At 37.1% G+C, this 27,744-nt stretch overlaps 1 protein-coding gene across 11 annotated transcripts in view, besides 2 other annotated features; it reads left to right on the top strand.

Moving 5' to 3' along the window:
* Positions 1-27,744, top strand: part of STRBP (spermatid perinuclear RNA binding protein) — a 159,093-nt gene that overhangs the window by 81,982 nt on the left and 49,367 nt on the right. For 8 of the 11 annotated variants that reach the window (XR_007061327.1, XR_007061326.1, NM_001376109.1 and 5 more), the window contains 7 exons: positions 2,307-2,473; positions 7,378-7,598; positions 12,763-12,928; positions 16,559-16,703; positions 25,537-25,628; positions 26,143-26,238; positions 27,398-27,509. Coding sequence is in view for 7 of the 11 variants with exons in the window: in NM_001376109.1 (NP_001363038.1) it covers positions 2,471-2,473; positions 7,378-7,598; positions 12,763-12,928; positions 16,559-16,703; positions 25,537-25,628; positions 26,143-26,238; positions 27,398-27,509 (835 nt within the window). In the remaining 4 variants the exon portion in view is untranslated. Of the gene's footprint in view, positions 1-2,306; positions 2,474-5,629; positions 5,738-7,377; positions 7,599-12,762; positions 12,929-16,558; positions 16,704-18,346; positions 18,417-25,536; positions 25,629-26,142; positions 26,239-27,397; positions 27,510-27,744 lie in introns of those variants that run through there. The other 3 variants (NR_033234.2, NM_001171137.2, XR_001746347.2) reach the window with 3 other exon arrangements.
* Positions 10,320-10,379: an enhancer, noted in NCBI's record as "active region_28933". NCBI's record gives its function as "activates an Ori minimal core promoter by ATAC-STARR-seq in GM12878 lymphoblastoid cells {active_cell/tissue: GM12878}" and the evidence as "EXISTENCE:reporter gene assay evidence [ECO:0000049][PMID:35858748]".
* Positions 11,100-11,811: an enhancer, noted in NCBI's record as "OCT4-NANOG hESC enhancer chr9:125937073-125937784 (GRCh37/hg19 assembly coordinates)". NCBI's record gives its function as "activates a minimal SCP1, AML or CMV promoter by ChIP-STARR-seq in primed H9 embryonic stem cells {active_cell/tissue: H9 hESC(primed)}" and the evidence as "EXISTENCE:reporter gene assay evidence [ECO:0000049][PMID:30033119]".

Genomic DNA, 27,744 nt, shown 5'->3' with positions numbered 1-27,744 from the left:
GTTTTATAGCACCAATAGAACATACAGTGAATATACAGTGAATAGAGATACAGTTTTTTTTTCATGAGTTATTGCACTATGCTATCATACTCTGAAGTTCCCAGAGGTTCTTGATGGTAGGGTAGTTACCCCCCATGCTAAATGACTGTGGAGTGCTGTACTTTTCATATTGGTGATCCATGATTTTTCCACTACATCTGAAGCTATTTCATAGCATTGTTCTTCCTTTTCTGCCTTCAATCTATTCAATTATTTTGAGACCAGGGTCTTGCTCTGTTGCTCAGGCTGGAGGGCAGTGGTGTGTTCATGGCTCACTGCAGCCCCACCCTACTGGGCTCAAGTGATCATTCCACCTCAGCCTCCTGAGCAGCTGGGACTACAGGCATGTGCCACTATGCCCACCTAATTTGTTGTTAATTTTTTTGGTAGAGATGGGGTCTCACTGTGTTGCCCAGGCTGGTCTTAAACTCCTAGGCTCAAGTGATCCTCCTGGCCTCAGCCTTCCAAAGTGCTGGGATTACAGGCGCGAGCCACCATGCCTGGCTGGCTCCACATTTTTTTTTTTTTTTTTTTGAGACGGAGTCTTGCTTTTTCGCCCAGGCTGGAGTGTAGTGGCGTGATCTTGGCTGACTGCAAGCTCTGCCTCCCGGGTTCACGCCATTCTCCTGCCTCAGCCTCCCGAGTAGCTGGGACTACAGGCACCCGCCACCATGCCCGGCTAATTTTTTTGCATTTTTAGTTTTTGTATTGTTAATTTGTATTGTTAGTTTCACCATGTTAGCCAGGATGGTCTAGAACTGGCTTCACTAATATAAAGAAAGCTTGTGTACTTTGTTTCACTTGTTGACTGAACACATAGCAATCGTTTTTGGCTGCTGGATTCACAGCTAAATAGTGACTAGCCGAATCCCTTAGAATGGAGTAGGGTTGGGAATGGGAGATGCTGAAGACTTTGGTTATATAGTAAGGTATTTATAGGAAAGGTAAAATTTTAGTATTGTATTTAGTATTATGTTACTTAGATGGAGCATTTTTGAGATATCTCTTACTGTGGGATCATATTTTGATCCCTGTTTTTTGGTTGTCCAAAAGGATCCCATGAATTGCAGCACTTATGCATTCCTTCCTTAATGCGATATGAGTAATAATAAAGTAAGTCCCATTTATTAGAATCTCTTCTGTTAAATAGTATCATTTTTTTAAAGAGATAGGGTATCGCTCTGTTGCCCAGTCTGGTCTCGAACTTCTGGCTTCAAGCAATCCTCCCGTCTTGGCCTCCCAAAGCATTGGGATTACAGGCATGAGTCACCTCACTTGGCCTAACTGCTAATATTAAGAAACTGTTACTGACAATAGGGTGTTTCCTTATTAAAGGAAAGATATTTAAATGAAGAGAAAGTTATTTTCTTTGTGAGTTTATACGATATATGGTATGTAAATTATGTCCTCTTATAGCCACATAGTTAAAGCATGTGCTGTATTTTGATGTTCTGGTTTTTTTTTTTAATTTTTTTCTCCTTTTCTTGTAGCTAGGTTTATAATATAAGTGTTTCATCAGTGCTCAGAAAAGTTTACTTTTACTATGTCTGGAATAAAATCTCATAAAGGTGGAACAAAATAAGTAACAATGATTAGGACTCTGGATAGAAATAATACTGTGGAAATCTGGTGAGGGACATCCAGGGGTAATGAAGTCAGGATCTAGTGAATATTCAGGAGTCTGGCATAGCAGTGCATACAGGCCCAGGGACAAATAGGGCCTTTTGGGAGTTAGGAAGTAGAGCCAAAAAAGCATTCTGAATTTTAGGCTGAAAAAAATTAAAGAACAAACATTGTGCCAACATGTACTCTTTAATGGCAGTATCCAATGTAAAAGCATCATGGAATAATCATTGGTATTGTTGTATTTTCAGGTGTCTTTACTGAATTTTCAGATGGGTCTGAGTAATGCCAATTTCTGATTGAAAATCTAATGGTTAACTGCAACTTGTTGCCATCAGTGGTAGTATTACTCTTTCAGGTGGTGCTTCTTGACTGAATCTCTTTGCAAATGTATTTATCTCATTGAGTGCTAGTCAGCCAGCTGCCACATTGTAGCTACAGGAGGCTTACTTTTCTGGCCATATCACCTAGGCTCCTGGGCCCAGGCCTTCAAAAGATGTGTTAGCTTTTTGTTTGAACTGAGGGAATTTTCCTCTATTGAGTTTATTTCTTTTTAATCAGGAACATGTTTATGGGTTGCACACTCATATTGGAAGCTAATAGTAAATAAGCATTTTTGAAGTTGTTTTCCTCTTCTCTTGCAGGTGTGTTCCAGAGAACAAGCCTTCAGACATTTGCTATATTGACGCTGAGCTGTCAGGGGACTCAGGCTTATGAGGAGGTATTGTTACACAAAACAGTGTCTAGTGAAGACGACAAGAAAGAGGGGAAAGGATCGGAAAAAGAAGCTAAAATACTATAGAAAACCATGGTAGGTTATTGTGGATATTTTCATAATTTAGTTACAAAAGACTCCAGTAATTTAAAATTAGAAATGTTAACAGTGAGGGCAAATGAAAAACAGTGGTGTTAATTTTTGGCTTTAGTGTGTCATATAAAGATGGCACTCTACTATTCAAAGCGAATGAATTCAGATTTACTACAAGCTATGTAAACCACAAGGTAGGGCCTCATGAGCCTGTAGGCCATGAATTATTAAAACAAAGGAGGAAATGCTCATAAATAATATTTTCTAATAAAACTGGCATTAGCAAACTGATACAAATAGCTAGGTTTTTAACTTTAAGTTCAGTTTTTTTTCTTGTGGAAATTAAAAATTCTGAACCAGTCCTTTAATTAGTGATATGAATGATGTAGAAGTTTATAATATGTGTGAATGTTTAACTGAAAAAGCCACCTCTTTTTCATACTTTTAAAATAATAGGGTCAAGTGCTGAGTATAGTAGGGGCACTGAATTGAGAATCAAAGAAACCTTGCTTTTTGGGAAGAGTTCAGACTTAAATTGAATTTGTGATGTTAGATGAGCTCATAGTCTCTGGTGCCTAGGCTTTTAATTGGTAAAATGTGCTGATTTTTTTTCCCTTAGTATTATGAGTTCTGGAGGGTGTTATATGAATTTTTTTTCTCCTAAGTATAAGCGAGAAAAGGTTTCTTTTTTTTTTTTAAAGACGGAGTCTCACCCTGTTGCCCGGGCTGGAATGCAATGGCGCAATCTCGGCTCACTGCAACCTCCGTCTCCCAGGTTCAAGCAATTCTCCCTGCCTTAGCCTCCCGAGTAGCTGGGATTATAGGTGCCCGCCACCATACCCAGCTAATTTTTTTTATTTTTAGTAGAGACGGGGTTTCGCCATGTTGGCCAGGTTGGTCTCAAACTGACCTCAGGTGATCCACCCACCTCAGCCTCCCAAAGTGCTGGGATTACAAGCATCAGCCACCGTGCCTGGCCAAGATTTTAAAAACACATTACCAGTGAGAGAAAAAGCAGAAAATATTAATCACCAGTATGATTATTTGGAATATGTTGTTTAGCCGGTCTGTTGGTGGTGATTTTTTTGATTTTTTGTTTTTTTTTTTTTTTTTTTTTTTTGAGACAGGATCTTGCTCTGTCCTCCAGGCTGGAGTGCAGTGACATGATCATAGCTCACTGCAAACTCCAACTCCTTGGGCTCAAAGGATCTTCCTGCCTCAAGCCTCCCAAGTAGCTTGGCCTTATAGGCGCATGCCACCACATCTGGCAAATTTTTAAATTTTTTGTAGAGACAGGGTTTTGCTTTGTTGCCCAGGCTGGTCTGGAACGCCTTGGCTCAAGGAACCCTGCTGCTGCCTTAGCCTTCCAAAGTGCTGGGATTATAGGCGTGAGGCACCGTGCCCAGCCTGGTGATGTTTCTTTAAATGTTACTTGCTTTTAAAAATATTTGTGCCAAGGATTATAACTTAATCAGCTGACTCCTTAGAGAAGAAATTCTGATATTTTAGATCTAGATTGTGGGAACAAATGTTAACTTGGGATTTTCCCTGTCATTTTAGTTATGTGGTGAAATGTGAAAAAACCACACTGATTCTTTTATATCTTACCATGTGAATTATTTACCTCTCATTCCGCTCATTTCTTATAGTCTTGATATTCTTACAACTAAAAGAAATGCTTTATTATTTTTCAGAGTGGATGAAGATGTCTTCCTTAGTTTATTCTTTTTAAATTCAGCTTAGATTTTCTGGTGTATAAATTTTGTGTTTTTATATAATTTAATTGATGAGTATTTTCTGGTTTCTCTTATTACTTGCTTTTTAGATCTCAGATTGCAATGAGAATTTTCTCTTTCTGCATGGTTCTTCTGATTTAATTTTTTGTCTTTTTTTTTTTTTTTTTTTTTTTTTTTTTTTAAAGAAACGGAGTCTCACTCTGTTGCCCAGGCTGGAGTGCAATGGCACGATCTCAGCTCACTGCAACCTCTGTGTCCCGGGTTCAAGTAATTCTTCTGCCTCAGCCTCCTGAGTAGCTGGGACTGTAGGGGTGTACCACCATACCTGGCTAATTTTTGTATTTTTAGTAGAGATAGGGTTTCACCATGTTGGCCAGGCTGGTCTTGAACTCCTGACCTCTGATGATCCACCCTCCTCGTGAGCCAAAGTGTTGGGATTACAGGCGTGAGCCACTGTGCCCAGTCTGATTTATTTTTTCAATACTTAAAGAAAATCTGTTTAGAGCTTATTTGAGTAAATAAGATTTCTCTGCATTTCTTCAATTTTTCCTGTTACTGTTTCTTTTTTTTTTTTTTTTTTTTTTTTTTTTTTTTTTTTGAGACGAAGTTTTGCTCTTGTTGCTGAGGCTGGAGTGCAATTGTGTGATCTCAGCTCACTGCAACCTCCGCCTCCTGGGTTCAAGCAATTCTCCTGCCTCAGCCTCCCAAGTAGCTGGGATTACAGGCATGCACCAACCACCATGCCTGGCTAAATTTATATTTTTAGTAGAGACGAGGTTTCTTCATGTTGGTCAGACTGGTCTCGAACTGCCGACCTCAGGTGATCCGCCTGCCTTGGCCTCCCAAAGTGCTGGGATTACAGGCATGAGCCACCGTGCCTGGCCTGTCACTGTTGTTTCATGGTGCTTATTCTGTCACATCCAGTAGAATGTTAGATGTAACATTTTTAGATTTAACATTGGCAGTCTGTATTATTTGTGTGATAAATGACAAATGTTTATGTAATGTAGCAATACGCAGTTTTGCTCAGGTGTGGCCGGTGTGCAGGACTAGGTAATTTAGCAAGTACATGAGCCTAGCTAACAGCCTAGCATTTCCAACTCTATGGCTCTTTTGTTCTCTAGTACTTACTTTGGGATAGATGAATATGTCTCACTAAGTGTTTAAAAAATTTGTTTCTTTGTGGCAAACTGCACCAGTTGGAAAACTGGTTGTGGATGTTGAGCAAGAAAGACATCTAGACAGATGATTTTTATTGAGAAAAAGAAAAGCTTTGTAATCTATTTTAGCTCTGTTTTTATATAATGATAGAGGTTTTCAAATGATTACCTTTTCAACCAAAGTTTTCTTTGCTTTATAGAGGACAGTGACACTATAGTGTTAATTTACTGTTATCCAAAAATAATGTGATTTTTAAACATAGATAAACAAGAACAAAAGAGGCAAGACTGTTCATAAAAAATTGAGAATGTTTTAGTTTGCGATGGACTTCAAAACAAAATATTTACCATGTACTAACATATAATTTCATGTAAGTAAAGACAGTATAACCAGCTTTTAAATGGAATATTTTAGGCTTTATGGAAAACTCACTAAGTTATCCTTGTTCATTTTGCTGTGTATTGGTATAAGTGTCTTCGTGATATTTGTAAATTTGGAAAAATTTAAAGGTTTTTGGATGTGTGACTCATGAGTGTATAGAATCTACTCTGTTAAATTTTCATGAAATTCATTCATTTTCTGGGTTCTGGTCTGTTCCACTGATCTGATATTTCATTTTAGTTAGTGGTACCACCCTTCGATCTTTGTAGAGTATTTCTTGATACCCTTATTTATGTTTTTCCCCAAATGAGCTTTAAAATGATTTTTGTTGAGATTTAAGTAAATCAATCCTGAGGAGATTTTGATTGAGAATATATTTGTAAATTAGCTTGTCATTTTGCAGTATGTATTTTTCCCACTCTGCATTTGGAATGTCTCCCACTAGTCTATTTAAAAAATTAAAGGCCTTGCACCAAAGGTTTGAATGTCAAATAGTGAACACTATTTTAATGTTTTTTATAGTTTTCTTATAGTGTTCACAGATAACTTTTTATTTCGTATTATTCTATATTATGAAATCCTAAATTCTAAAATTTAAATAGAGACCTGGGTCTTACTCTGTTGCCCAGGTTGGAGTGCAGTGACATAGTGGTAGCTCACTTAACCTCGAACTCCTGGGCTCTAAGGATCCTCCTGCCTCAGCCTCCTGAGTGGCTAGGACTATAGGCACCTGCTACCACGTCCGGCTAATTTTTTTTATGTTTTGGAGAGATTGGATCTTGCTACATTACCCAGGCTGGTCTCCAACTTCTGGCCTTCAAGCGATCCTCCCACCTCAGCCTCCCAAAGTGCTGGGAATTATAGGCATGAGCCACCATGCCCAGCCCTGAAATCTCAATTTTCTAAGGTTAGAAGTCTTTGGCAGTTTGGAAAGGTTAGAAGTCTTTGGCAGTTTATGAGTCACTCACCATCCTGCATTTCTGCGACTCTCTTGAAGCTAAGAAGTATCTAATTCTTGCAGATGATGTGTGATGTGGATGACATTTGTTGAAGTAGTATTCAGAATGTGTAGGTTCAGCTAAAAGATAACTTTATTCATTTATTTATTTATTTAGAGACAGAGTTCACTCTGTTGCCCAGGCTGGAATGCAGTGGTGTGATCTCGGCTCACTGCAACCTCTGCCTCCTCAGTAGCTGGGACTATAGGTGCATGCCACGACACCCAGCTAATTTTTTTATTTTTAGTAGAGACGGGGTTTTACCATGTCGGCCAGGCTGGCCTCAAACTCCTGACCTCAAGTGATCTGCCCACCTCGGTCTCCCAAAGTGCTGGGATTACAGGCATGTGCCCCCGTGCCTGGCCAGGATAACATTATTTATAAATAATGCCAAGAGTGACTGAAGTGAACCTTACCAAAACATGAATGGAAGAGCTCTTGTTTTCTGGTGAGGAGTTCAGTAGAATGGGATTTTACTTCCCACGCTGGAGCAGTTTTTTCTTGTTTCAGTATTAACTGTTTCACAGTAGACAGTCAGTGCTATGGGTTGGCTAAAGATATAGTTGTATATCATCTTTTTCAGGTGATGTTTCTTTTGTTGAAGTAATTGTTTTCGTTCTCCTTCTAACAGAGATCTATTCGATCTTTTGCTAATGATGATCGCCATGTTATGGTGAAACATTCAACAATCTATCCATCTCCGGAGGAACTTGAAGCTGTTCAGAATATGGTATCTACTGTTGAATGTGCTCTTAAACATGTCTCAGATTGGTTGGATGAAACAAATAAAGGCACAAAAACAGAGGGTGAGACAGAAGTGAAGAAAGATGAGGCCGGAGAAAACTATTCCAAGTGAGTGTGGACTGACCTCTGGGACGCTGTGCTAGAGTGCACAGCAAAGCTCTAAGGTCTGCTGGATTGAGTGTGTGTTATGCTGTTTTTTGGATTTTGTCTTATGCATATGTGAGACTATAACCAAGGAAGTAAATGTTACATGGAGATTTTCTGAGTTAAATTTGAAAGGAAAGCAAGTAAAGAATAAAGATTAGAGCCAGAGAAAGAAAATGGACCTGCTTAGGATCCCTTTTGAGAGAACACCAAGTCCTTTAAAATCATTATGTTTCAAAGTTATGATCTTTTTCCTGTGTTGATTCAGCCTCCTAAATTTTCAAATAAATAGTAGTGTTTTTGATCTCTGGGGAGATCATAAAATACCATTTTTGTAAGGCATTTAAAAATCCTTGTGTAGAAGAAAGAGTGTAGGAAAATGTATTTTAAAGGTATTTTTGACTGTATCTACCTCACTGATTCCCAGGAATTTAGCAGTGTCTTGCATATCATAACTGCTCTTTGTATATTTGTGGATTGGATAAAGATCTAATGGGACCCACACCCCTCAACAATTATAGTAGCATATTCTAAGTGTGACAATAATAGATTAGTGAAACTGAAATGGTACCTGGAGTTAGGTCATTAATCTTTTTATGCCAGGCTAAGCTTAAAGTTACTGTTTTGAGCAGTTGTCACAATGATTGGAATAAGTGTCTAACTTTGAAAGATGGAGCTCATTTGACTATACTCTATGAATAAAAACATTGCTTTGGCTATAATTTGTAAGTGAAAGAGGTTACAGAATTTTTGCAGCTTTTAACTTTAAATCAGTGTGATAAGTAAATAATAATAGGAAAGTATTGATAAATGGATTTTCTTCACTGAAAGATAGTATAACTTTTTTTATCTTCAGATCAAAGATAATCAGTGTGTCAGTTTTATTGCTGAAGAGCACAATTTTTTTAAACTATTTACAGGCAGTTTATACATTGTGTCTGGTCATGGTCTTGTCACTGAAGGTTCTTGGAAATGTGTAATTTTTCTCATATATGATGTCTGTACAAATGTTACTGTTAGATTTGGAATTCATGTTCATTAGTAATGTTATCTAATTATTTAGTTCTATATGTATCTCAGCTCCTGTGCAAGTTAAATAGTCACGTATTCCAGATTTAAGTTGCACTTTGCTACATGTTTATGTCATGTTAAAAATTTTTTTATTGTGGTAAAATATATAACATAAGATTTGCTATTTTTACTAATTGTAAGTATACATTTCAGTGAAGTTTATGTCTTTTTAATACATTTTCTAATTTTGTTTCTTCTCAAGCCTGGCATATTTTGGAAAGCACTCCTATAGACTTGCTTAACTGGATGAGGTCTGTGATTTAAAGACTTGTACAGGATAATATGCTCCATACTTTTATTTGAAGTTTTATTTTTATTTTTATTTTTTTAGAGATAGGGTGCTCTGTTGCCCAGGCTGGAGCGTAGTAGTGTGATCATAGCTTATTGTAGCCTTGAACTCCTGGGCTCAAGTGATCCTCCTACATCAGCCTCTTGAATAGCTAGGACTATAAGTGTGTGCCATCATGCCTGGCTAATTTAAAAAAAAAGAATTTCGTTTGGAGAGACAGAGTCTTGCTGCATTGCCGAATTTGGTCTCGAATTCCTGACCTCAAGCTATCCTGCCTTGGCCTCCCAAAGTGCTGGGATTACAGACATGAGCCACCATGCCAGGCCTGGATTTTATACTTCTGTGTGTGGATGCTCTTGGTTGTCTATGTACAGTCTTTCCGTTTTGTGGAACAGTCCCTGGGTGAGCCCTTGCCTATGATCCTTCCCATGTGGTGGAACTCAAGGAGTGCAGAATGAGATTCTATTCTTATATCAGAGGCTGGCATGTATTCCAAGGACAGAGTTGTGTTCTGGTAATAAACATATATTGTGCACCTGGTGAGTGTTAACCACTCTGAAGGACACAGAGATGGGTGGGGGGTAGCTTGTATTTATTAAGCAATTAAGCATTTTCCATTGCCAGGCACGGTTAGGCAGCTTTTACCTATGCTGTCTTAATTTAACTTAATGCTTTACCTTTTTCAAAATGGATTCAAAAGTCAAATAACTTATACAAGGTCCTACAATATGTATTATTAGGAATATTAGAATTCTGTTTTTAATTTTAAATTCACATATAGTAAATTCAAATACATTGGGTTGCTTGCTTTACAATAACTGCTATGTTCCAATTTTTAAATTGAAATTCAGAACTGTTTGAATTAGGAATTGATTTTTTGCTCAATCATGCTGTCTTCTACCTGTGGGCTGATAAGACCAAGTATATCATAATTATGGTTTAGAATTTAATAACTGAGCTAATAACAGCTACTGTTTATTGAGTGCCAACTATTGTACCACATACTTTTCCTACTATCTTGCAGCAAATCTACCAGTCTCTAATATTATTATCTTCCTTTCTCCACTCCTGTTTTACTTGTGAAATTTCCTGTGCTCCAAACTTGCTTATAAAAAAAAGAGTGACTCAGAATCATTAACAAACTTTAACTTGCTTAAGGCTACTTAGTAAATATGTGTGGTTGAACCAGGACTCATATTGAAGTTTCTCTGACTCCAGATCCAGTTTTCTTAGCATCTATTCTTCAGTTTCCTGTGAATAACATGTGAAAGTACAGAGCAGGGAGAGACGATGATGTGCTGGTTCTGGAAATCTGCAAAAGCTCCATGAAGGAGGTAGCACTTGGAATAGGCTCAGAGGATGGATAGGGGTAGGGTTTTGGCATGTGGTGAAAGTGAAAGAAAAAAATAAATCTCAGCACCGATCTAGGTATGAGAAAGTATAGAACTGTTTAAGGAATAATAACTGTTGTTTATTGAGCTGTTAATATCTGTTGGGCTCTGGCCAAAGTTTGTTAACATATATTCTCACTACCACTCTGTGAGAAAGGTATTATTCCTGTTTTACAAATGAGGAAGCAGGCTCAAAAGAAGTCAAGTTATTTGAAATTTGTCCAATGTCACACAGTAAGTAGCAGAGCCAGGATTTGAACCAGGAAGCGATGTCATTTTCTAAATTGCTTTCCAATATGGTAAGTGTCCAAGTGTTCAGTGGGACACCAATGAATTAGTAGGTAGAGTGTTATCCAATCAGCGCCTTTGGAAGATTATTCTGGTTGCTGTATACAGTACTTTGGAGATGACAGAGGTCAGAAAGGCCAGTAAGGAGGAGGTTATTGAGGTGGTCTACGTGAGAGGTAATAAAAGCCTGAAGAAACTGGTTTGCAAGTTTGATGGTGATTATAGAGGGATAATTTATAAACCATTACAATATTAGACTTGGAAGAATGAGAGGACAAGGATACAGAGGAAGAAGAAATCAAAGATGACTGATTCTCTATTGTTAATATCAGACAATTGCCTACACTTGGTCACCTGCTTTAAAATGCTTTTTATTTCTATATTTATACCACCTTTAACATTTTTCATTGATTTAATGTTTATTGAATCTCTATAAGTGTGCCAGGCACTGAACCCATGGCTGGATTATTTATCTTCCTTTCTAGTTTCCACTGCCACAATTTGTTTCTCTTCCTTCTCCCTTTCCATTTTATTCTCAACTCTGCTGATTCTTGCCCAACTCTGCTGATTCTTTGCTTATAGCTAGAATGACTGTTTCCCATCTAGGTAGATCAAGATTCTGCTGAAGTCAGACTTTCAGTTTGCCTTGCTTGACATCTCTAATTTTGACCTCTCCCTTTTCTGAACTTGGGAAGCAATCATATAATGTAAGGGACCTGAATGTTGTGGTCAAAACAACTTAGGTTTGAATTTAGGCTTTGCCATTTTACTTTCTTGGTGAACTTGAACAATTAACTTTTCTGAGGCTCACATTTCTTGTCTTGCAAATGGAGGCTTGTGGTGAGATTTAAATGAGAATATGTGACACCTGTTTGTGCTCAGATGTTACTTTCTCTTCCCCTTTTAAATAGGGCACTTAAACTGTTACTGCTTTTGTTGCTTAACTACAGAGTAAGCCTCAGGAGCAGGAGAGACTGTAACTCCTGTAAATATGTTTGCCATACCCAAACACTTGCTTATTTGTTGAAAGACGGTTAAACTTAGTTACTATTTTCATTTGTGATTAAGGGAAATGAACCAATAAGAAACTTTTAGAATTAAAATCAAGGATAGATGAGCACCTTTCTTATGCACCATTTATGACTTGATTTCTTTGAGTGTTTGCTCTTTTAGCTACTCCTGGATTTGGAATGCATATGCTGGCAGTTTATCTTTCCTTCCTTAGCTCTATACTTTTATCACATTTTTCTGCTTTCCCCATAAGCTGATATAGAAAGGGAGGCACTTTAGAATGATATAGTTGGGAGGAACTTTAGCTCATCTAGCCAATAGTCATTTTACTGTTGTGGATACTGAGTCAGCAGGCACTACGAGTAGAATCCAGGTCTTTTAGATTTCTGTGCTGATGTTCTTTCCCAATATACAGTGGTATTCATGTTCCTCACAAATTGCCTAATTACTACTAACACAGAAGGAAGTTTATTTTTATTTTTTGAGACAGGGTCTCATTCTGTCACCCACGCTGGAGTGCAGTGGTGCAAACATGGTTCAGTGCAGCCTCAACCTCCTGGGCTCAAACAATCCTCTCTCCATTGCTTCTTGAATAGCTGGCACTACAGGTGCATGCCACTACACCTGGCTAATTGTTTTACATTTTTTGTGGCAACAGGGTGTTACTGTGTTGCCCAGGTTGGTCTTGAACTACTGGGCTCAAATGATCCTCCTGCCTTGACCTCCCAAAGTGTTGGGATTACAGGCATGAGCCACTGCACCTGGCCAGAAGGAAATTTAAAAGAACAATTTGAAAAAATATTTAAGAGAATACAGTATTTTTGAGTTTTCTTAAGCAATATAAATGTAGTAAAGAATTACAAGATCTGTAGTATGAAATACGTTCCCCATTGACTCCTTGAGGGAAGATAGATACTTTATAAGCCTCAAATCTGAGGCTTAATTTTGTGGATACTTGGATGTCTGGATTTACATACTCCCTTATCAGTTTGTAAGAGTATTCAGGAAGCCAAGTGATGATTAAGTTATAGTTTGGGAAATAGGTTGTGAAAGTAATCATGCAGACTTTTATTTTTAGGGATCAAGGTGGTCGGACATTGTGTGGTGTAATGAGGATTGGCCTGGTTGCAAAAGGCTTGCTGATTAAAGATGATATGGACTTGGAGCTGGTTTTAATGTGCAAAGACAAACCCACAGAGACCCTGTTAAATACAGTCAAAGATAATCTTCCTATTCAGATTCAGGTGAGTACAGTTTAACTGCACCTCTAGGCGAATTTGTAAAAAGGTGAAATAGGTAGTGACTTTGAAAAAATTATTAACCAGAATTGCTAATAGCTAATAGGATAGACACAGACAAAATGAGTACTGCTACTCTGGGTCAATGACTAATTCATCACAGTTAAAGCAAACTTCTGGTGATTTGTACTCAGGATATATTTACCAAATTAAGATGGCCATTAAGGTACCATCTTAAACTTTTCCGTTGTATCTTGCTGAGAATCTTCATTTTTTCCAGGCTAGGTCTCACCATTATAAAGTTCTTGGAAGGGTTGGTATACTGCAGAAAAGAATTGGAAGATTGAAAACAGCCTAGATACTTTCTAGCGACTAAGAGACTTTCTTATCAACGAGAGACTTTCATAGATAGTAATTTTTAAAACTGAAGACTCAGTTAATTTGCCACCTCTTTGTTCTGTTAATGGAAATTACTGTTTATTTCTTGTCTCCAAACCTTTTTTACACTGGGATGCATTTAGAAAAATATGATGCTGGCATGTTCCCTGGAGGATGCTGCTGAAGGCTGAAGGCTCCTCAGGGATGAAGGTAACCATTCTGGGGTTCTGGTCATTCTAGGACCTGCCCTGCCAGCCTACCCCAAGGACTCATTGCATCACTGATTGGGAGTCTGTGATCATCTTCAGTTTCAGATGCATATTGTCTGTGGTCCAATTAAATTACAGCTTTTGATAATTTTATATTAGTTTGTCTTCATATCAATGCCACAGAAATAGATGTTGGCCTCTAAGTCCAAACTTGTGAATTGTTGAATGCTCCCCACCACCACTCACTTTTTAAAATTTAGTTTCTTTTATTTGTATATCTTTTAAAAGGGGTCTTTTTTTCAAGATGTATGAATTCTAAGTTTGTTTTTCTTAGCTTTGTTACTAGATCATTTTCTTTCATATTCACTAGCTGACCCTCAAAACCATCTCTGATTTTTTAGTACCATTCTTGACACTCAGATTTATTTTACTGATTGGCACATTCTCCTGTATTAATTTTGGGGGCACTATGTTATCATTTTGTCTTAATATATGGTTTTTAAAGTGACAGAACATACTTGGCTTTTCCACTTTCAATTTTGATGGAGAAATGTTTTCTGGTCTTTTATAGGGTTGAATCTATTTACCTTTCCCTCCCTTTTAAAAAAATCCTTTTGTGATCATTTGGAGGAAGGAGAGTGGAACATAGCTTTATGTATTAAACATGCAATAAAGCTTTACAAAGTGGAAAGCTAATTAATGGGCTTTCTGGCTAACTATACTTGTAGTTTATTAGAATATTAATAAAGTTCCCGTTTCAATTTTTATTTTGTTTTAGCATTTAATCTGTATTTCTGCTGTTAGTATAGTAAACATCGTTACTCTTACATGTAGAATTATCAGAATCAGACATACTAGTGGCTTTTTCACCCACCTCACCCCCTTTCTGTTCCTTTCATGAATCTTGTTTCTTATGAGAATGATCATATTCCTCATCCTCAGATGTTGCAGCATTGAAAAAGGGTTGAGAACCAGTGCAACAGTAAATCGGAGTTTTTATTCAGAAAATCTATCACATCTCTCCTGTTTTGAAGACAGAGAAGATTGGGCCAAGCTTTAGTTGGCATTGTTAGAGCTTTCTCTGTGCAGATCACAACTTTGTAAACTCCACATTGTTTCTCTCTTGAGTGAGGGTCTTTATTTATGAGCATCGCAGTTTAAAAAGGTTCTTGTCTAGTTAGCAAGTATTCAAGGGGGTTACCCTGGAGGGTGTACAGGGTATACAAACCATCTCAAATTTTAGGAGACTGAAGCTTTTTAGGCTAAAGAAACTAAAAAAGATATAAATACCTTTAGGTCTTCGAAATGCTGTCTGGCAGAAGGTAAAAGAGGTGTGAACTCTTAAGACTAATGGTGGAAATTAGGAGAAGTATCTTTCAATTTAACATAGCTAATAGATTTCTCCAACAATAAATCTATGTTTGGGTAAAGATACATTTTCTTGTAAAATGGGGATGATGATTGTACACTAATCTCAGATTAAAATGTATACATGTACACACATGCCCACATATATACACATGTGTGCAAGTGTATTGTTACTAATAATATTCATGAAATTAAGTGTGACTTTTACAATTAAACCTTTCTCCCCGAGCACCCTCCGCCCCTCCTGCCCTGCCCAGTTTTCATGGTGTTTGTGTGGAAAACCAGTCTCTGATACGATATTATTTCCTTATGGACCAAAAATCTTTTTCCCGAGCACTTAACATAGCAAAACTTTCAGTTATCTAAGTACGTTAGTTAGCTGAGGTTTTACCTTACCTTTTCTCTTCATACTCTTTCCTAGGATGCTTTTAGAACTTCTTTGAGCAAAGGAGGAGGAGGATGACCAAAACCAGAAATCACTTAAAATTACTCTAGCACAAAATGCATATTATGTTTATTATTTTGGGTGTGTCTTATGGTGATCGACATGCATAATTGAAAAATGAAGTTCAATTTATTCTTTGATAGACATCTTTAATGCTCTTTTAGTGACAAAATGAATGTGAGCTGTTTTTTGCAGTTTCTTTATATTCTGGTTCTTTTATCTACGTATGGCCTTTCCCTTCCTTGGCTTCCTCTATTCAAAAGTAGGATAATGAGTTTTCCCTTTCCTACTTTTTTGGGATCGTTTAATGGTAAAATGCTATTTTTACATAAGTGACTTTGAATTCTTTTAATACACACTGATGAGCAGGGACTTGGTAGTGTCCCTATTCAGCCTGGCTACTGTATGTCAGGTAATAGACACTAAATTTCACCACTAAGAAAAAAAGCCCCGTGTAACTTATTTTAAATCATATATTTAATGTATAATAATATATTAAGCATAACTTAATATATAATTCTGATCAGGTGATTATTTTGTGGGAGGCCCCTACCTAAATTGTACGTTTGTTTATATTTGTATGTTAAAAGAAGCAATGTAGGTTTTCTGTAGATGTCAGATGACTTGACCCATAGTGGTAGGTCCCATTGGAAGATCTCTGAGACCTGTTGTCGGAGAAGGGAAGAAGTTATTTGTTTATACTCATTGTTTCCTCCTGGTCAGTGACTGTGCAGAGATACTTTTTCATTCATGCTTATTTGGTGCTCTTTAAAAAGCTCCATAATCCTATATTCATAAGTTTTTGCCAAGTAGGAGTTCCTGTTCAGGCTGCTCTACAAAAAGAGCTATTGTTTTGGAGAGCAGTCCCAGCTATTTCTTATTTTATAATAGTTCTCTGTAATAATTTTAAGAACAACAATTTACCATTTATCACATACTGATGCTATTGGCATTTTACTTTCAAATATTAGAATGGTTTTAAATATTGTTTCATAATTGTATGGATGGTTGACATTGTGGTTGCTTTTTAAAGAATGGAGAAAGAGGGTTTTCTTGTAAGTTGGGAGGAGAGAAAAGTGTTATCCCCAGTAAAGAACTAGTTACAGGCTTTCTTTGCCCTTTGAGCACAGTAATATTAATAGTAACATTCGAGAACTTAGTACAAGCATTGTTTTTTTTTCTTTTGAGGTTTCAGTCTAATTAACTGGGTGATTTTGAAATCTTGGTGACTTTCAGAAACTCACAGAAGAGAAATATCAAGTGGAACAATGTGTAAATGAGGCATCTATTATAATTCGGAATACAAAAGAGCCCACGCTAACTTTGAAGGTGATACTTACCTCACCTCTAATTAGGGACGAATTGGAGAAGAAGGATGGAGGTACACATGTATATATATATATATATATGTATATATTTGTTGTTGTTGTTTGTTTTCTTCATATAAAAGCTATGTTAACAATGTTTTATGGATTTAGGAAATAACAGCCTTCATTTGTTTTATGCCACTCTATTTAATAGTATTTTAAATGGCTTTGTTTCTACATAATCAGTATATTTTGCAAAAATGTATGAATTCAAAATATAAAATGTTATTTCAAAAACTTGTGCTTGTCTTGTTGGTTTTAACTCTGCTTTAATTTTTATACCATTTGCTGTTCTGTTTTACTTTGTCTAGTATTGCATTAAGTTATTGCTATCAGCCAACTTATTCTATGTATTTTGGCTTAATGGTCGGATTTCAGGATTAAATGTGGTCCAAAACAGAATTGTTTTCAAATTTACTCATTGCTCCAAAATTACTTGCATCCTGGTTGGGCATGGTCGCTCATGCCTGTAATCCCAGCACTTTGGGAGGCCGAGGTGTGTGGATTGCTTGAGGCCAGGAGTTCAAGACCAACCTGGCCAACTTGGCAAAACCCCGTCTCTACTGAAAATACAAAAAAATCAGCCAGGCGTGGTGGTGGGCGCCTGTAATCCCAGCTACTCGGGAGGCTGAGACATGAGAATTGCTTGAACCCAGGAAGCGGAGGTTGCAGTGAGCTGAGATCACAACACTGCACTCCAGCCTGGGTGACAGAGCAAGACTCTGCCAAAAAAAAAAAAAAAAGAATTATTTGCATCATATTGCTCTTGACTTCTAATAGCTGTATAATCTCATAAGATTTGTACATGTCTGTGTCTAGATTTGTTTTATAGTGTAAGGGATGTAAATTGGGGGACTGAATTTTTTTAATGGATAATGTTTAGTAAATTTTTTTTTAGGAGGTTTGTGACCCTGTTAACATTTTGAATATGATTTATGTGAGAATCATGCTTTAAACTAACTTTCTTCTGAAGTTAAGAAGAATTGCTGTCTGGCAGCGTCATCCTCATAAAAGTAGAGAAATGTATTCAGTTATTGGTAGTTTTGAGAAGTTCATGATGGAATTGTGGTGGGCTTCTTTTTCTGATGTTTTTATCCTGTCAAGTTAGCTTGTTTCTGCCTCTCATTCCCTAGAAACTTGCCAGGTGGTATTTCTCCTGTGTCAAACCTTTGACCAGCTGGCTACTCTGTCATGACAATTTAGAGGCATTGCAGCCTATCTGGGCCAGTGGGGACTCCCTGTTGCTATTTTTCATCACCAGACTTTCAACAAGTCCCATTGCTTACTCCCTTACCTGAAATACCAGTGCCGCAGTAAATATTGGTCAGTTTCTTAGTTTATTTCAACTTGGTGATAAGGGTAGAGAAAAAGGTACCAGTAAAGTTGGAGTTTTAATTTTTGAGAGACATGACTCATAGAATCACTTAAAGTAAAAGTGATAGACTCTTTTTAAAAAAATGCTTTTTGGGATAACTAAAATCATCTATATCATAACTCAACAGATATAAACCAGACACATTTATGAGTCATATTTTAAAATCAAAGGGCATCCAATCTATAATTGAGCTTATGCCTATGCATTAAAATTTTTTTGCTGTATGTAGTATCTATAGCACCTCTGAAGAACCAATCTTAAATGGCTTAATTTTTTTAACAGCTTTACAGTTCACCATTAACTGTAGAACTATAAAATGATTTCTGAAGTGTCAAGATAAATGTTAATTCTGGTAAGATGTGTTCTACTTGACCCTCTAGTATAAAACCAACCATTTCTAAGTAGTGTTGTAATTATAGGTATTATTAAAAATTATTTGAGTATAAGGAGATGAGAAAAAGACTGAAGTTGCCAAAGGCTAAGTTAATTACATGTTTGCTTGTATCTGTCAGCATCCCTTTCATTTTTTTTTTTTGAAAGTATTAAGGGAACATCAGTCATCTTTATTCCTTGGTTTTGTGTACTTATATGAGATTTTGTCATAGCTTTCAGTGATACCTTTAAACTTAGCCTGTTGCCTTTATAACTTTAACTTCTGTTTAGAGAAGCTGAAAACATTCTTAGTATATTGTACTCTTGCTAGAAACTATTATAGAATAGATTTTGTAATAAAGTAAGAGAGTCATAGTCTCTCTTCAAGGTGTTTGAGTTACTGAAGGATCCAAAGACCTCTATGAGCTGAATCTCATCAGCTGTTATATGGGATCAGGTAAGGTGAAGGAATCAGCTTTGATCTAATGTTTTACACATCTTACTTCCTTTTTTTTTTTTGAATGGCAGAAAGATTTGCTTTGCTGTTGTCCTTAACATCCCAGCCCTGTTGACTCACTTGATATCTTTTATAATTTGCTCGTTTTTTCTAACTTGGGCTTTGTCAAAGACAATTTTTGATTTTTGTTACTGGTTTGTGTATTCCTGGGCAACTTGGAGGATCTGGTCTATAATTACGCACTTCAGACCTGGGCTGTACGATTCTGTTTTCTCACACTAGACAGCTGCTCATCCCCTTGATGCAGTTCTTTTCAGCTGCATGGGATAAAAGCACAAGATTCATTCAGGTCCCAGGAATTTGTGGGGCTGAAAGTTACCCTTTTTTCTCCTAATTTATACTTTTTTTTTTCTCAAAGTTAAAAAAAAATCCATTGTAACTTTTTTCTTGGAGACATTTTCCTGTAGTATCTCAACTTTCCTTCACCTACCCCCACCCAAACAAACTGTTCACAATACATACACACCTCACATCTTTCTTTTTTCTGTCTTAACTTGCCACATATTTGGGTAAAATCTAAAAAAGGAAGAAAAAAAAAAGAGTGGTTGAGAGCAGACAGAACCAGAGGACTGGGGCATGAAACTTATTTCCTCAGGATTGTGCAATGGATCTAACTACCTACTCCTTTCAAATCACGATTTACATTTTAAATTGCCATAATACAGAGTGAATCTCTTTGGTATTGTTTACTGTTTCATAGGTAAGTTTCCTCCTATGTTTTCCGTTGTCTTTCTGTATTCTAACCCTTTACTTGAACGCCCTGTAGAATAACCATATCCCCATTACTACGTTTCCTGCTAATGAAGGCATAGAAGCACAGATCTTGGTGTGCAGCAGTCTTTCGTTTGGCTTGTTTTTTTGTTGTTGTTGTTGTTGTTGTTGTTGTTGTTGTTGTTGCTGGAGACAGTCTTGCTTTGTTGCCCAGGCTGGAGTGCAGTGGCATGATCTCAGCTCACTGCAACCTCTGCCTCCTGGGTTCAAGCAATTCTCGTGCCTCAGCCCCCTGAGTAGCTGGGACTACAGGTGCATGCCACCATGACCGGCTAATTTTTTGTATTTTAGTAGAGATGAGGTTTTGCTATGTTGCCCAGGCTGGCCTCGAACTCCTGAGCTCAGGCAATTTGCCCGCCTCGGCCTCCCAAACTGCTAGGTGTGAGCCAGTGCCCCTGGCCTTATTTGACTCTTAACTCCATTAGTTGCTATTGCTGTGTGACCTTGGGTAGGTTTCCTCGTTTTAAATTGTGGATTATAAATACCTTAGAAAGTTGTTTTAAGTGAGAGAATTTATGTAATGTGACTTGTACAATAACTGGCACAAAGTAGTTGCTCAGTAAATAGTAGTAGTCAACTTATTGAATGCACCTACTCAAACTGCCGTAACAGTGAAAATAATGTGCACATGGTAGGTCAAAAGAAGTCAACCCAAGCACAGTTAAACTCTTAAACACCCAGTGATGTATAGTATTAGAATCAGTATACTGATTTATGCAGTGCTAATAATAAAAACCTGGTATATTGTATAGCTTATAATTCAGGTGTCTTTTTGCCTGTCCTTTATCCTTAGCACCTCTAAGGGTACCTAATACGTAGTAGATGATTTTTTAAAAAGCCCTATAAATCTGTTAAGTGAATTAACATAGTCAGCATATTGTCTGATTAAATAGGACTCTCCAGTGTGTAAGAAGTATTAATGGGCATCTCATAGCTCAAGTAATATATATTGAAGATTAATCTCTGTTAAGATATTTTTATAACCTACCATGTGATAAGCACTTCCTCACATATGGTTTATTTTAAAAGCCCTCACATGGCCCTATGGGGTAGCTAATTGCCATTTTATAAATGAGGAAAATCTCACATTTTACCCAGCTCTCCTGACTCTACGTCTAGTATGCAGGCCACTTCCCATTATTGTCTAGGATTACTGCATGAGTGGTTAGGCTGATCTGGTCATTCTGAGCTTCACACAGAGTCTCAATTTCTTTTGGTGCTTGTGATTTTAAATTAGAAATATATTTGCTATTGAAGGGGGTGATAAATTATCTGCTTATTTATAATGCAGTTTGAAACCAGGTGGATAAGGAAACTACAGAGACACTTGTGGCTTAGACTAAGAGACACCTCTCTCCTCAGTACTGGGGTGGATTTTCAGGGACTGTCAGAGAAGTTGCCTCAGAGTCCCTTCATATTGGTGCCAGTGTGAACTCGCCCTTCTTGGCAGAAATTCACTAGCATGTGTCTTGCTAGGGTCAAGGCAGTAGGTTTTACAGTACAGCCATCACAGCTGTGATAATGATGGGCTTTATTTTCCTGCCTTCCCTAGTTTCTGGATCTACGTTATCCAGGGCAAACTTTTTTTTTTTTTTTTTTTTGAGATGGAGTCTCGCTCTGTCTCCAGGCTGGAGTGCAGTGGTGCGATCTCGGCTCACTGCAATGTCCGCCTCCCGGGTTCAAGCGATTCTCCTGCCTCAGCCTCCTGAATAGCTGGGACTGCAGGCACTGGCCACCACACCCAGCTAATTTTTATGTTTTCAGTAGAGACGGGGTTTCACCATATTGGCCAGGATGATCTCGATCTCTTGACCTTGTGATCTGCCTGCCTCGGCCTCCCAAAGTGCCGGGATTACAGGTGTGAGCCACCGTGCCCGGTCAATCCAGGGCAAACTTTTAGGCACTGTCTTTCCAGTGGCAGACTGCCACTGAAGAAAAGTCATACCGAGTGACATTAGTCACATAAATTAGGAGAACAGTGCTTTCTCTGTTCTACCTTATTGCTACATTTATCTGTTTATGTTATTATGTGCCTGTGTTTTGCATGGACAGTGGTTTGGGGCATGTCTTCTCTCCAGAAAGCTTCAAGGAATTGAGAGAGAAGGGGCTGCCAGGATATTCTTAGGCTAATTAGAAAATTCTGTCAGCATAGACTTAGTAGCTCAGTTTCATCCTGATTGTCAAGGAGCCCCTCATGATACTGAGCTCAATTATTTTAACTTTGAAGAGCCTAGGTTCCAGACATATAACTCCTGTTTAATGCAATCATGTTTTGTTTTTTTGCCAGCCCCATCTCCAGGCTGGTGTTTTGTTAACAGGGACAGATAGCTAGCTTGCATGTAAGGCATTGAGAGAAACTGACCAACATTTCCTGTGGTATGGTGTGATTCTGGTCACTGATTTAACCTCTAACCAAATGAACATGGTTAGGCATAGTAGACTTTCTAGTGCTTCTGTTGCTAGAATGTTGTATGTACCTTCATGCCCTGATGCTAGGTTACTGAGTAATAGATTTTCTTAAAAGCTGTATTTCTGGCCGGGTGCGGTGGCTCACACCTGTAATTGCAGCACTTTGGGAGGCTGAGGTGGGCAGATCACCTGAGGTCAGGAGTTCAAGTCCAGTCTGGCCAACATGGTGAAACCCCATCTCTACTAAAAATAACAAAAATTAGCAGGGCATGGTGGCACGCACCTGTAGTCCCAGCTGTTCGGGAGGCCAAGGCATGGGAATTGCTTGAGCCCGGGAGGCGGAGGTTGCAGTGAGCCGAGATCATGCCACTGCACTCCAGCTGGGCTACAGAGTGAGATTCTGTCTCAAAAAACAAAAAACAAAACAAAAACAAGCAAACAAAAAAATGCTATATTTCTTTGCTTTTGGCATTTTTGTCACCTTCCAACTCCTGCCTCCCATGCTGTTTCTTATCTGTTTCACTGGTCATTCTAGGAGATAATGAAATGGCTCACAGTTCTATTGTTTCTAATTAAGAACTCCAAGATGTGTTATCAGGAAAGTTTTGATCCTCCTCAAAATTTAAACGCCTACATTAAAGTTCAGAAATATTAAAGTTGAGATTCTGCTACCAAGGGTAGCAGTGTTTTCCCAGCAGCAGCTTTGCGATTGCCACATTAAATGAAGTTTTTTCAAAGGAATGAAAACATACATAAAACTGTATATTATTAATTATATAAAGGAAACAGGCAATCTATGCTTATAAATAGCACTGTACTACCATATGAATTTGTATTGTTTTAATATTAAGAACTTTGAAAAAGATAAAATGAGATGAATTATTATATCTCCTCTACTGTTTTCTACCTCCTGAATATTGAAGCCATTTTGGATCTTTTGCTTTTCTGACTATCAGAGCATGAAGAAACACGGTCATTCTGATGGTGATGGAAAAGGGAACCTGGTGCAAGTCTTCTGTTCAGTGCCTGTCCCTTTCATCTCTTTTTCATAGAATGTGTTGTCTTCAAATGTTGACTGTCTGTAGCAAGCCAGTGTCTCAGTTTTCTAAAATAAGAGTTTGTGGTTACAATCTGACTTTGGGATGAAATAATTTATCAAAATATTTTTGCCATTGTCTCCCATTAAAAATATCTGTGTTACAATCAGAGTAAGATGCTAATTACAACCTCTGATCCCTGGATGAAAGTATTAGAAAGTACAAGAAGAATTTTGGCTTGCCTTGCCTTTTCCTATCCTCTGTGTTACTTCCCTCTTCCATTGTCTCCCTCTTCCTGACATTCCTACTTGGTAAGATGATGGAATAAAATTTAGCTTGTCATAGTATTCATTTAAAAATTGACATCTTAAAAAACAAGTTCCATACTATTTATTGGGATTACATTACTTAGTAGTTAGTCAACCTTTGTTACGTCTAACTTTTAAGAGAATGTAAACATTCATTTACAGTAGTTTGTTTTATCTGATATGTGAGCTTTACACAGATGCTTGTATTGACCACAGTTAAGCATTTTGACATAGAAACATTAAAGTGAGCTACTTGTATATTTTGTATCACTATAAAGACAAAATTGAGCTATATCACCTATGAAATGAATACCCGTGGTACATTTGTTTATATTTATAAATCAGAGTAATAATCCTTTTTGAGGCTTCCCATTTTATGAGTAAAAGGGAGTAATGAAACATTGTATTCTGATTTTGTTAGCAGTGGTTAATGGGAAACAATGCAAATAACTGGTGTAGAGCTCACCTGGTCAGAAAATAAGTGTGTAGCACTTCAGCCTTTACAGTGTCATGGCCAGTAAAGAGAACCACAGTTCTTCCTTTAATAGATTTGTTTCCTATTGGCATTATGCCTTTTTTAATGACATTTCATCAGTTAGAATAAACATTGGCTGGGTGTGGTGGCTCATGTCTGTAGTCGCAGCATTTTGGGAGGCCAAGGCAGGCACATTGCTTGAGTCCAGGAGTTTGAGACCAGCCTGGGTAACATAGTGAGATCCCATATCTACAAAAAAATTAGCTGGGTATGGTGGCACATGCCTGTAGTCCCAGCTACTCAGGAGGGTGAGGTGGGAGGATCGCTTGAGCCTGGGAGGAAGAGGTTGCAGTGAGCTGAGATCGTGCCAGTGCACTCCAGCCTGGGTGACAAAGGACGAACCTGTCTCAAAAAAAAAAAAGAAAAAAACCACAGAATAAACATTGATTGTTGTAATAGGATCCTCTGATAACTGAAGAAATCAAAAAGTATCTTTGTTATTGTCTCCCATTTAGAAATATATACATTGTATTAGTTGGCCCACACAAATGCGCTACCTCTATCCGATGTTACTATCATGATAATGCTGGGAAGAAGTGTTAGTGGGCTGTCTTATATTTAAGAGAATCCTTAAAAAGAATGGTAAATCCGACTTAATTGTATTAAACAAAGAATTATTACTCAAGAAGCATTTGCATATTGTGTGCATTTATGGAATGTACCAATCCCAAAAGTTTAAAAGCCTACTTTTCAGTAGCTTAGAGGAGATAAATTTGGCTGTCTAAACTTGACTTTAGTGTCATGTGACATCTTCTCAAATATGGATATTTGCTGCTTTGGGCCATTTAATCCAACTTTAAATTATTAAGGCAAGCTGAATAGCCATAATTAAATAGTGTTCTTTGTTGCTTTTTATTTTTAAAAGGCATGTAAAACTTGAAATGTAGTTCACTGTATTTTATATTTGTAATTTTAATAATTTTGGTTTAGAATAGGGAATTCCAAACTGATACTTGAGTTCTCAATCATGGGGTGGAGTTTCTGTTAATGGTTATCTTGTTGAATTAGTTTATCTAGTGTAAAAAAATTGTCATCCTCAGTTTATTTTTAGTATATCTCATTGATATGAGACATAATTGATTTCCAGTTTTCCTTAAAGATGGTTAGAGATTAAAATTTCTTCTGTTAAAAAAATTGTTAATGCTATTGGTCCCAGATTTCCCTTCTTTGCATCCTGCCAAAGGAAAAAGTGCTCTGTACTTATTTTGTGCCCTGTAATGTTATAGATGCTTAATAAGATCCCAGATTTTAAGTAGCAGCTGTCATTGATTTGTTTACTGAATGAATTTTTCATGTTTCATTGTATTTGTGCACAGAACTACTCTGATGACTGTTTACTTAAATAATAATCATAGTGCACATAATTTTTTTAAAAAGCAACACAGCCAAATGAGGAAATTTTCTGGGAGTCTTATTAGTTCACTCAAATGCTGTTATTCTTTTTATTTTTTATTGTTTGATAATTTGATAGGAATCGCTTGGTCAAATTGTATTTGTCTCTCTTTATCCCATTTTACTGTTAGAAAATGTTTCGATGAAAGATCCTCCGGACTTATTGGACAGGCAGAAATGCCTGAACGCCTTGGCGTCTCTTCGACATGCCAAATGGTTTCAGGTTGGCTTTTTCTTACTATCTTATTGTTATTAAAGTTTGTCCAAGTTTCATTTGGAACACCTGCCACTTAATTGGTTTCTGTGTACTACATAAAATGAGGGGTGCTTTCTAGCTCATAGTGTGGTTGTTGGAGTAATTGAGTTAATTTAGATATGTGCCTAGTATAGCTTCTATAGTTCATGATGTTTTATTATAATTCTTTTTGGCTTAGTATTCTGAATTTCAGATGGTTGCTTATAAAATCAAACATGACTGAGAAAAGCTAAAGGTTAAATTAGGTAGTTGCCTGGAGTGGGGTTGCCATGAGACTACGAAATTAATTTTAATATTATGGTCCTTTTATTTTTAAAATGTACCTTTTTAAGCCTTAATTTTACTACTTGTGATTAATTGATTTTTTTGTTTGCCTGATAACTGATGAATAATTTGCTACTTAGTATTCACTTGAAAGAACTTGCCCAAAATGAAGAATAGATCTCAATAGGGATATCTGGAATCATTTTGTTTGTTTTAGGCAAGGGCAAATGGATTAAAATCATGTGTAATTGTCCTCCGCATTCTGCGTGATTTGTGCAACAGAGTCCCCACATGGGCACCATTGAAAGGATGGGTAAGTACTTAAATATGGCTAAAAGCAAATTTGGAAGCTGTAGCAGAGAAAATCCTGTAGAAATGAGATGTTACTTTAAAATGGCTATCTCCTAAGTTAGCTAAGGCATGCATTATGTATGTTTGCCATGAAAAAAAAATAAAGCATCTTTTTAAGCGAATTCTTCTTTTGTGCATATAACTTGCCTCTTCTACCTCATTGTATTCATGTTACAGAGCTTGAAATATTTTTTGCTGACAAAAAGGTTTTATACCTTTTAGAAGTGAGTGTCTTCTTACACTTGACTTTGCACTGGTGGTTAATCACTTAGTGTTCACCTGCTGCCCACAAAAGTCTCCTTGGCTGACCCACTTCTCTTTTGGTGCCCCCTTGCATTACCATGAAAATTACCCAATAGGCCGGTATAAGGATCCTATACCTCTGTAGCTTTCTCTTTGAGTGGAGACATTTACAAATAAGTTCATGTTAGTAATTAAAGTCAGGCAAACAGTACACTTAACCCCATATGGATATCATTTATATATATTGTAAAATTGACTTAACTTGGAAATTATGCCTGCTCCAATCAAGACAACTTAAGAACATTATAAAACAATTTAAATAAAGCCGTGAAAGATCATTTTATAAATGAATGTAGCAATGATTACTTTGACAAAATATGAGTTCTTAGTTTATTGAACATGGACATTTGGTCGTTTGTTTATTCTAATGGTAATACTTGAGACAAGCTGTCTGAAACGAAGTCTTATTATTATATTGAAATATTTGTGGTTTGTGTGCTTCCTAAGTGGGAGATTAAGTGGGCTGGGTTTTGTACACTGGCTAGTTATTAGCTATTACTAACTTATATGAGGACTTGTTAAGTCTTTATTAAATGAATTAGAGACCATAGTTTCTCTAGTGATCCTTTCTGGGTAAATAAATGTAAAGTTTTTGTTACAAAAATGTCTTCTGAAGATACGATCTTAAAATTGCTTGATTTAAAAACTCTTCCCAGGGTAAAGGTTGATAATCATGGGGAAAATGTTAAGTGGGTCCTAAATGTTAAATTGAATTTCACTCTTTGGCCTCCCTTGTAGATAGAAATGTTAGCTCACATTTAACTGGAATCCTTTTAACACTTGGTGCATGTACTAATTTGTAATTTAATATCTTCTAGCCACTAGAACTTATATGTGAAAAGTCTATAGGTACTTGTAATAGACCTTTGGGCGCTGGGGAGGCCTTGAGACGAGTAATGGAGTGTTTGGCATCTGGAATACTACTTCCTGGTAAGGGTTTCAAACTCTGGAAGCAGAACAATCAGCAAATCTCAGTTTAGTTTATTTTTCTAAATATATGCTAAGTTTGTTCTCTACACAGGAAAATGATGCATAGGAGTTCTTTTGCTTGGAATTTTGACAACTAGAATGCGTGTTGGAAAAGTGCTATAAAACTCTTTTTCAATAATTATAATTTGTGTTTTATATGTACTAACATAAAGGGTACTAATAATATATTGTGTCT

This window comes from Homo sapiens, chromosome 9 (assembly GCF_000001405.40).
Source record: "Homo sapiens chromosome 9, GRCh38.p14 Primary Assembly".
In the NCBI taxonomy this organism is placed as follows: Eukaryota; Metazoa; Chordata; class Mammalia; order Primates; family Hominidae; genus Homo; species Homo sapiens.
The sequence above is the reverse complement of the archived record's forward strand: the minus strand, read 5'-3'. Positions and strand labels throughout refer to the sequence as shown.